The sequence below is a fragment of the Homo sapiens genome, chromosome 1 (genome assembly GCF_000001405.40).
Source record: "Homo sapiens chromosome 1, GRCh38.p14 Primary Assembly".
Taxonomy (NCBI): domain Eukaryota; kingdom Metazoa; phylum Chordata; class Mammalia; order Primates; family Hominidae; genus Homo; species Homo sapiens.
This window is the reverse complement of record NC_000001.11, coordinates 153,094,929-153,105,830: the sequence shown is the minus strand read 5'-3', so window position 1 is coordinate 153,105,830 and position 10,902 is coordinate 153,094,929. Positions and strand designations below refer to the sequence as shown.

General features: G+C 37.0%; 1 annotated feature.

Moving 5' to 3' along the window:
* Positions 5,016 to 6,215: an enhancer, noted in NCBI's record as "MED14-independent group 3 enhancer chr1:153072092-153073291 (GRCh37/hg19 assembly coordinates)". NCBI's record gives its function as "activates an origin of replication core promoter dependent on BRD2, BRD4, P300/CBP and CDK7 cofactors, and independent of MED14, by STARR-seq in HCT116 cells {active_cell/tissue: HCT116}" and the evidence as "EXISTENCE:reporter gene assay evidence [ECO:0000049][PMID:35650434]".

The following is a 10,902-nucleotide window of genomic DNA, read 5'->3' as shown; positions in this document are numbered from 1 at the left end:
GTGGTTTGAGAAATTGGTTGTTATGATTTCAGTCCTTTTGTATTTGCTGAGGAGAATTTTATATCCTATCATGTGATGGATTTTAGACTATGTGCCACGTGGCAATAAGAACAATATGTATTCTGTTGTTTTTAGGTGGACAGTTGTGGATTATTAGCAGGTAAATTTGATCCAGTGCTGTGTTTTGGTAGTGAGTAGCATTGTTAATTTTCTGTCTCTTTGATGTGTCTAATACTGTCTCTGTGATGTTTCAGTCTCCCACTATTATTATGTGGGAGTCTAAGTATCTTTGAAGGTCTCTAAGAACTTGATTTATAAATCTGAGTTCTCCTGTGTTGGGTGCACATATATTTAAGATAGTTAGGTCTTCTTGTTGATTTGATTCCTTTACCATTATGAAATGTTTTAGTCCTTTTCTGATGTTTGTTGGTTTAAAGTCTCCTTTGACTGAAATTAGGATGGCAACACCTGCTTTTTTCTGTTTTTTGTTTGTTTGTTTGCTTGGTAGATTTTTCTCCATCCCCTTACTTTGAGCCTATGTGGGTCATTATATGTGAGTTTGGTCTCTTGAACACAGCACACCAATGGATTTTGGTTCTTTTATTAGCTTGCCACTCTGGGTTTTAATTGGGGCATTTAGTCCATTTACATTCAAGGTTAGTATTGATACATGTGGATTTGATTGTGTCATGATGTTAGCTGGTTATTCTGAAAACTTGTTTATGTGGTTGCTTTATAGTGTCACTGGTTGTATACTACAGTGTGTTTCTGTAGTTGCTGGTAATTGTCTTTCTATATTTACTGCCCCCTCTAGTAAGGTAGGTCTGGTGGTAACAAATTCCCTTAGCCTTTGCTTGTCTGAAAAGGATCTTTTTTCTCTTTAAGTTATGAAACTGAGTTTGAGTAGTTATGAAATTCTGGGTTGGTATTTCTTTTCTCTAAGAATGTTGTATATTGGCTCCCAGTCTCTTCTGGACTATATAGGTTCTGCTGAGAGGTCTGCTGTTAGTCTGATGGGCTTCCCTATGTAGGTGACTTGACCTTTCTCTCTAGCTGCCTTTAGCATTTATTCTTTCATTTGACCTTGAAGAATCTGATGATTATTTGTCTTGCAGATGATGTTCTTCTGTAGTATCTTACTAGAGTTCTCTGCATTTTCTGAATTTGAATGTCTGCCTCTCTAGCTGGGTTGGGTAAGTTCTCACGGATGATATCTTGAAACACATTTTCAAGTTGGTTACACTCTTCCCATCTCTTTCAGCAACACCAATGAACCACTAATTTGATTTCTTTACAAAATACCATATTTATCTGAGGCTTTGTTCATTTCTTTTCATTCGTTTCTCTCTCTCTTGTCTGACTGTCTTATTTCAGAAAGTCAGTGTTTGAGCTCTGGGATTCTTTTCTCTGCTTGGTCCATTCAGAAATTAATGCTCATGATTGCATTAGAACATAACAAATAATAAATTTTGTAGTGTTTTTCAGCTCTATCTGGTAGGTTATGTTCTTTTCTATACTGGCTATTTTGTCTGTCAGCTCCTGCGTCGTTTTATTGTGATTCTTAGCTTCCTTGGATTGGGTTTCAACATAGTCTTCCACATCAATGATCTTCCTTCCTATCCATATCGAAATTCCATTTCTGCCACTTCAGCCATCCTGGCTCAGTTCAAAACCCTTGCTAGAGAGATTGTGTGGTTGTTTGGAGGAACAAAGACACCCTGGCTTCTTGAGTTGTCAGAGTTCTTGTGCTGATTCTTTCTTATCTTCATGTGCTTATATTCCTTCAATCTTTGAAGTTGCTGACATTTGGATGGGTTTTAATTTCTTTTATCTCATTTGATAACCTTGAGGTTTTGATTGTGGTATAATGTCAATTCAGATGACTGGCTTCATCTCTGAAAGATTTTAGGGTCCCAACATTCAGCTCCCAATTCCTGGACTGCATGCCATAACTCTGAGTGAAGTGTGTCAGGCTTGACTTTGTTCTTTGGCTCCTCCAGGTTAGGAATCCACTGTGCTATGGAGGCTGAGGTGCTCCCTGACCCCTGTTCACTACACTCTGATGGGTGGTGTCAGTCAAAGTGTTTTGCAGTGTGGTGGCAGTGGGGTCCATTCTTGTTTGTATGTGTCAAGAGCAGTGTCAGCATGGCAGGGTGCATACTATTGGGCTGGGGGCAGGGTTCTTGCAGGTGCTAGGGTACCTGCCTCTGTGGGGATGTTCACGACAGTGGTGAAGGCATTGTGGCTTGGGGCTGTAGGGGGTCCCTGCTGGTTACTGTGTGTGCTGTCACACTTGTAGTGTTGTTGGTATATGGGTAGGGTGCTGGTGGGTGCGGGTCTGTGTCTTTTTTCTGTGTGCTGCAGTTAAGGGTGGTTGTTTGGGGTGCAGGAGTTTCCATTGTTTTCATTGCCTGGTTTCACTCCCATTGTTGGCATGGGGTATACACTGGCATGGGCGGTGCATTGGCAGGGATGGGGTTGGCTGGCTATGTGACTGCAATGGCTATCACCAGGGAGAATGGACTGACTGTACTGTCACTGCAGCAGTGACAGGGCAGGATGCACACTCTCACATCTACTGATGAGAAGAGGAAAGCAAAACCCACTCATGCACTCACATGCTGGCAAAGTGATATGGGGTGTTGCTCTGGGCCCCAGGGAGGCTGCAGTGTTAGGAGTGAGCAGGTGGGCTTGTGGGTGACCCTGGGTGGCTGCCCCACTGGAGTTCTCCATTTGTTAGTTGTGTTCTCCCAGCACAGACGCTAAAATGTGGGTCCCAAGGTCGCCCGAGTTTGCCCTGCAAGGAAGTGCATCCAAGCTGGCACCCCAGGAGAGACCAGCTGACCAGGAGGTGCTCAGGTCAGACTGTCCCCATCTGAAGGGTAAGATTGCCATGCAGAGTTCAGGTCCAACAGCTCCCCAAGGGCTAAAGTCTGCTATGTGAGTAAGTTGAGCCTAGGGAGATGGCCATCCCTGGCCCTGCTCCATTACAGACACTCCCCTACCAAACCCTTTAGGCTCCACATCAGCTGGCATGCTGCCCCTGTCACTTCCCTAAGCAGCTCTCCCTGCCAACTGGAGCATCCCTGGTGGTTAAGGGTGTCTCCCCCTGCTGGGATTCCAGAGGCCCATGGCGAGAGTGGGTTGTTCCCTGTCGGTTCAACTCAGCTGTTCCCCTGGAGTCACTGGAGGCCAGGAACCAGTCCTGGTGTATAGTGTCCCTGTGCAGGGCTCCTAACTTTCTCTCTTTTCAGCCTCATTTCTGGGTCTTCCCTTGGTTCACTCTCAGTGCCTTCCCTCTGAATATCTGTTAGAAGTGCACTTGTTACCTCGGTCCCTTAGTGGCAGCTGTTCCACCTGGCTGCATCCAGTTGGCCATCTTGCCCAGAGACAAAGGAATTATCTGGGATGTTAAATGTTTTTGAGTGTTTTTTACTTCAATATTCATGAGAAATATTGTTCTGTAGTTTTCATTTCTTGTAGGGTCTTTGTCTGGTTTTTGTATCAGGGTAGTGGCGGGCCTCATGGAACAAGACAGGAAGTAGTCTCTATTTTCAGTTTTCTTTTTTGAAGATTTTGAGAAGGATTTTTTTACATTTATCCAGTAAATCTTTCTGGTTCAACACCTTTCTTTCTAGTGAGATTTTAGATTAGTGATTCAATCACCTTGCTTATTGTATATCTATTCAAATTATCTATTTCTTCATGATTTGATTTGGTATACAGTATATTTCTAAGAATTTGTTCATTTTAACTGGGTTATTTAATAAGCTGACATAGAATTATTTATAGTTTCCTCTTCAAATTGTTTTCATTTCTGTAAAATCAGTAGTAGCCTTCCTCCTTTCTTTTAAGAATTTAGGTATTTGAGTCTTACATCATTTTTTATTCCTGTAGTTAATCTGTCTAAAGATTTGTCAAGTCTGTTGATCTTTACAAAGAAATAAAACTTAATGTTATTGATTTTTCTCTACTGTTTGCTTGTCCTTTATTAGTATCTCTACGCTAGGCTCATATTTTCTTTTTTGGGGTTCATCTTACTTTACTTTTTGTAGTTTCTTAAGTGTAACATGAGATTATTGATCTGATATTTTTTTTTACATTAAAAATGTATGTGGTTATGGCTATAAATTTTCCTGTTAGCACTGCTTTTTGCTGCAACCCATAAGTTTTGGCATGATGTGTTTTGTTGTCAGTAGTCTCAAGTGATTTCTAATTTTCCCTATGATTTCATATTTGACTTGTTGGTTAAGTGTGTTGTTTAATTTCCACAAATTTGTGAAATTTGCTGTTTTAATTTGATTATGTTTTTAGTTTTATTTCCTTGTGATTGGAAAAGTCCATTGCATGATTTTAGTCTTTTAAAATATATTAACTTGTTTTGTAGCCTAATATGTGGTCTATCCTGGAGAGTGTTCTTCCATGTTCTCTTGAGGAAACTGTAAGGAGTATCCTGCTGCTGTTGGGTAGAGTGTTCTATATTTGTCTGTTTGGTCCGATTGGCTTATATATTTAAGTCCTCTATTGTTTCGAACCTCTATTATTCTAGCCATGAGAATTCACTAATGAGAATTCACTAAATATTCACTGACAGTGAATTATTTGAGTTTTCAACATTTATTATAGACCTATCAACTTCTTTTAATTTCTCTCACTGTATCTTCATATATTTTGTAGTTCTGATGTTTAGTAAATGTATGTTTATAACTTCTCTATTTTCTTGGTGAACAAATCTCTATCAATACATGTGTCTTTTGTTGAGTCTTATAACAGTTCTCAACTTAAAGTTAATTGTGTCTGATGTTAGCGTAGCCACCTCTGGTCTCTTTTGGCTACCATTTACATGAAGTATCTTTTTCCATCCTATTACTTTCACCTTCTTTGTGTCTTTAGCTGTAAAGTTAGTCTCTTTTAAACAATAAATAGTTGAATTTTTTTCTTTTTGATTCATTCTTCCAATTTGTATTGTTGGGAAGAATTTAATTCATTCACATTTAAAGTAATTACTGATAAAGAAGGTCTTCTTTCTGCATTTAGTCTTTTCTGTATAATGTTTGTTTTTCAATACTGTCTGATTTATGTTTATTTGATTTTTTTGTAGTGAAACTATTTTATTGCCTTTTATCTTTTGTGTATACTTGAAAATATTATTGTGGTTTCAATGGGGATAATATATTATATCCTAAAGTTATAGTAATCTACTTGAATTAACACTCGTTTAACTTCAATTGCATCGAAATGTTGACTCATACCCAGCCTGGCCAACATGGCGAAACCCTGTCTCTACTAAAAATACAAAAATTACCTGGGTGTGGTGGCGCATGCCTGTAATTTCACTACTAAGGAGGCTGAGGAAAGAATTGCTTGAGCCCAGAGGTGGAGGTTGCAGTGAGCCAACATCATGCCACTGCATTCCACACTGGGTGATGCATTGAGATTGTCAAAAAGAAAAAAAAGTTGACTCATACAAACCTATCCTGTTTTTATGTTGAGTCACAAATTACGTCTTTATACATTGTGTGTTCACTAACACAGACTTGTAATTATATTGTATTTATTTGCATTTTAAATCTTGTAGAAAATAAAAAGTGGAGTTACAAGCTAAAATTTCAATAATGCTGGCTTTTATGTACCAGTGTACATTTATCAGAGATTTTTATATCTTCATATAGTTTATCTCCAGCATCCTGAAATTCAACCTGAGAGTCTCTCTTTATAATTTTTCATACACAAAATCTAGGGCCAATGAAGTGCCTCAAGTTTTAATTTCTGGAAATGCCATAATTTTGCCTTCATTTTAAAGGACAATTTTGCCGTGTGTAGAATTCTAGGTTGAAAGTGTTTTATTTTAGGGCTTTAAATATGTCATCCCACTACCTGCTGATCTCTAAAGTTTCTGATGAGCATTTGGTCACCTACTTCTTAAGGATTTCTTCGATATGATGATTCACTTCCCTCTTACTGCTTTCAAGATTCTCTTTTGATAATTTGATTGTAATGTGTGTCACGGTGGGTGTCACCGAATTCATTGAACTCGGAGTTTGTTGCACTTTTTGGATGTGTAATTTTGTCTTTTACAGAAATCATATAAATGGGCCTATAGCCTTTGAGACTGACTTTTCTTACGTATCAGTTTGCATTTCAAATTCAACCATGTCTTTGTGAGTCTCGACACGTCATTCCATGTTATCACTGTGCAGCATTCCATTGCATGGGTGTGATGTACCACAGTTTATCGATTCAATTATTGAAGGATATCTTGGTAGATCACAGATAGTGGATTTTATGACTAAAGCTGCTATAATTATTTGAATGCACATTATTTTTTATTTTATTATTATTATTATTATACTTTAAGTTTTAGGGTACAAATGCATAATGTGCAGGTTAGTTACATATGTATACAGAATGCACATTATTTTTTGTCAAGATATTTTAAAATGTACTAGATCAATTTTTGAACGTGTTATTGCGGGATCATATCATAAAGTTATGCTTATCTTTTAAGATTGTAAGTTAGTTTGGATTTTTTTCATAGTGTTTATATTTTATTTAACCTTTCTCAAACTTACAGTAGAATTTTCAGGTCTCTCATCCTATGTTAGAGTTCAGACAGTCTTTTCTCTCCAAATTTTTTCACAATTTTATTTGTGTTTCTTTGTTTTCCTTTTGAGTTTTTTTTTTGAGGGAGACCACAGCCTATGCACGTTCACTTTCTTCAAAAGATTCTTACAAGGAGAAGTGTCTGATTCATTCCATCATTGACCACATAGCCTTCTTAATCTCATTAACACTAAGCATATAGGAGTACTTTATATTACTAATAGCTCTTGAATTTTGCTCTTAAATATTCGGGTCTAACATAAGGAGAAAATAAAAGTAGAATTTATAAGGTTTATACACTTTGGAAAGATTAGTGCTAATGAGGTATTCAGTTTTTTATAAGGATTTAGCCTAAAATTTAGGTAGTTTGCCAGCTGAAGTTTGTGATATTTAAATGAGCAATATTTTTATTGTGCTAAACAGCTAACCACAGTAACAGTAGACTAAATGGGAGGTAACATTATATATTTTTTTGACACAGAATAAACCATTATATATATTTTCACACAGAATAAAAATATCTATACATGTTAATATTTTGCAAATCAATAAATCAACATACTGCTATTTATTGTTTTTAGATTTATTTTTTCTTGTACTAACTGAATTGAGAAGAAGTCCGTAGACAGTTCAAATAACATGGACAAATTAAAACTTTTTTTGTATCCTTTGTTCTAAGTTTCTGCTTAGGTTAACTCTCATTTGTAACACATAAGAACAAAAGTGCAGAACAGTCTATCTTATTTCTGCACACTTCATTCAAATCATACATTTGCATTTGCTTTTTCCTAAAAACTTCTGGCACACACTTAAAACAAGGATTATATAAACAATCTTAAAGAGAAAGCTGATACCTTTCTTAACCATAAACAACTTGAAATCGATGTTTTGCCTCTATCTCTTTGATTAACCATGTGTTTCTTTACTATTTTGAGTATTATCTGTAGCCTGTGCTAAGTACTTTATATGAAGTCTCTGATTTAATTTTTTTTCTCATGACAATTTAGTGGTAGGTACTATTGTTATCACTATGTTCTATTATATTTATTACCTGTCTACTCATCATCCATTACTTCCAATTTCATCATATTATGGCCAATTTTATGATTTGTATCTGTCTGGGTCTTGGATAGTAGACAAACCCATTCCTGATTGTTTTTTACCCTAGGAAGATCTGCCAATTTTGGTGAACTGTTTTATAGATACATATGGATATTGGGTGTCTGTGGCTTCTGTGTACATATGTCACTGCTATGAGGATGGGGAATATTATCGGGGTTTTCTTCAAGAGAGATTTTAGAAGCGATGTGATCCAATGTAGAGCTATAACAATAAAGCAACTGCTACTTACATCCAGCCCCACCCTTGGTCTCTGGCCAAAAATGCTGAAAAGAAAAAAGACCATTATCTCACTAATTGAAAAATGGACAGGCTTGTCTGTTGTCAGTTTTTCAAAGTAGAATTTTAAGATTCTTACCTCAATAATAGGTAACATTTGGAGAATATTTTGAAAAGTAAAACAAGAAAATAAACATCATCTGTAATTTCACCAGCCATATAAAATCACATTTCATATATTGTTTCATATGTTTCCTATCTTTTAATAAATGTTGACAAAAATGTTGTCATGCTTTATGTATGTTTTAGTACAATTAGAATATTTTAAATTATATTAAATAATCTTCCAAAACATCCACCTTAATGATCTTCGCTATTCTACCTTATGTATGTTCTGTAATTTATCGGATTCAGCAAGGAAGGACAAATGCTAGGCTTAGCCTTTCATTCAGAAATAAAAGCAGAAGGCAGATATGCATGGGTAGTTGCAGTTACCATATCTCTGAACATACCAAGAATATTTTACCATAATTCCTGTTTTTTAATTTTTTTCTATTTAATTTTAAAACTTTATTTGCCAGTACTATTTTGTTTAGTGGAATGTATAGTATTAAAATGTGAGATAAAATGTTGAATCAAGCATTAGACAAAATTAAAAGTGTTTGCACAAAGTGAATGGACTTCTATGAAATTATGTTATGTGAAAAAAAGAGCAATTCTCAAAAGGTTACATGATGTATAAATTCACTCAAATATTCTTAAAATAATGAAATCATAGAGATGGATAAAAGAGTAATATTTACTAGAGGTAAATATTTGGGAAAGGAGGGGTGGTTATGGCTATAAGTGGGGAGCAGAGGAGCCTTGTGGTAATGGAACAGTTATGTATCTTGACTGTAGTAGTAGCCAATGCTACGTACGTGATGTAAATTTCATAGCATTATAAACACAAACACACATGAGTGAATATATAATTAATAAAATTCAAATATACTTTCTGAATCGCAAAATGTTAAAGGTATCTGTTCTTTCCTGTCATTTTTAAGTACTAATAATTCATACTTAATGATCCCCTAGAAAATTATGGAGTAGAAGTAATAGGAATGAACCTAACTAAGGCTATCAGACTCTTAAAGAAGATAAAGCTAACCTCTTTAGACATGTAGATAGATGACAGATAAAGACTCATGGTATGTGAGTGTGAGTGTGTGTATGTGTGTGTGTGAAGTATGCCTCACTCTATGTTTCAGGGCCTGGATGTCATAACTTGGGGAAGCTGTGACTAGTAGCTGCCCCTCTTCATGTTGTGGCTGCTCTTCATGTACCTGGACTGTGAGGAACTCTTAGCTTCAAGTTCATCACCTCAACTTGTAAAGTGAGCCTGTCTGAGATGCTGGGGGCACTAGGGCTGCTGCTGCTCTGGTGCCTGCACTGCTGTGATAAACAGCCTGTTTGAGTGGGGTGTTCTCAGAAGGGGAGTCTCAGGGCATGACCCAAACTGTATTATCTCACACAGTGATCTCATTTGGCAGCCAATTCTCCAATTTTGCATGTTAGAAATCAGACATTTCTCTAAGGATCTGTGTTGTAGATGTGATGTGAGACTCTGGGGAGGAGTAGGTGACCTATTGAGTGAAGTCTGTTTACTTTACCCACTGTGCTTGGCATGTGTAATAGTCTATAGGAAGCATTTGGTGAGAACACTATTTGTAAACACCTGGCGCAAAGGTGCTGACATGATAGTTGTATTTCTGCAGCATCTGGCCACAGTGATCTTGGCCAAAAGCTCTTCCTTAAAGACTGGAGCAATTGCAGATCTGGAAACCTAACCTGCTTAACTGAGAGATGTGATGCTGGGTTGATTCAGTGTTCTTGCTCTATCTGGAGCATAGCTGGTGAGTGCTCCAAAGAATTTGAGTCACTCCTCTTCCTCTTTTTCCTTATCTTCCTCTTCCTTCTTCTTCTCCAATTATAAAATCACATTCTTGGAAAGCTTCCTGATCATTAGCCCAGATAAGAAAGCTCCAGCAGCACTGTTTTAAATGTTTAATATACAATGTTTAGTAAGCCCCATTGATTGCAGGAAGAGTTTTAAAAAGATGTGAAAGACATTCACATTGACAACATACGTATCGAGTGAACAATGTGTACTAAAATGAACAGATGAGAGGTATACATTGGGGTGTGAGTTGATAATCTAGCAGGTTGTGGGGCTAGAGAGCTTTTGGAAAAGACAATGGAAGAACATACAAACAAATTAAAAAATACCATTTTTCAAAGACTAAAACCTGTTTGGAAAGAGAGGTAGAGAAAGCAAACACATAGGATCACACTGAGTTTATATTTTCCCCTAGATTTCAGACTTTAAGTGCTCTGACCTCTATTCTGGAAAACTTCTAATTATTTACATAAGATACTGTGAGTCTATGCATCTTGTTCTCTATATGATGTTCACAGGGAAACATACAGGCATGGTTCAATACATAGATTTAAAATGAATGCTTGTAACTTTGGTTCCCTTTTCTCCATTTTCTTAATGTGGTGAATAAGAGTACAGTTTTACAAATGAAAAGCCTGTAGTACACTCCCTTGATGGTAGCAGTGGCAAATGTACTGGAGAGACTGGATCTCACTCTGGTATCTATCTTGGGACACAAGTGCCTCTTTGAGGGTTGTAGAAGACAACCCTCAAAGAGGAAAGGAATATAGGTAAAATCTGGGTTTCTGCAAGAGAAAGAGGTGGAGCAGAAAATTTCAGGCTTGAACAGGATCAACAGATGGCACAATGTGGTCAGTGCCTCCAAACCCAGAGGTAAATAAGATGCTCTTCTGTTTACAGTTCCAGGGAGGAGAGTTGACCTGGCTGTGGTCATACAGCTTAGCAAAAAAATCTGGGGCCAGAACTCAGGCCTTTGTTAGGTCTCTCCTTCCTTCTAGCACATTGGCAAATTGTACAAGGAA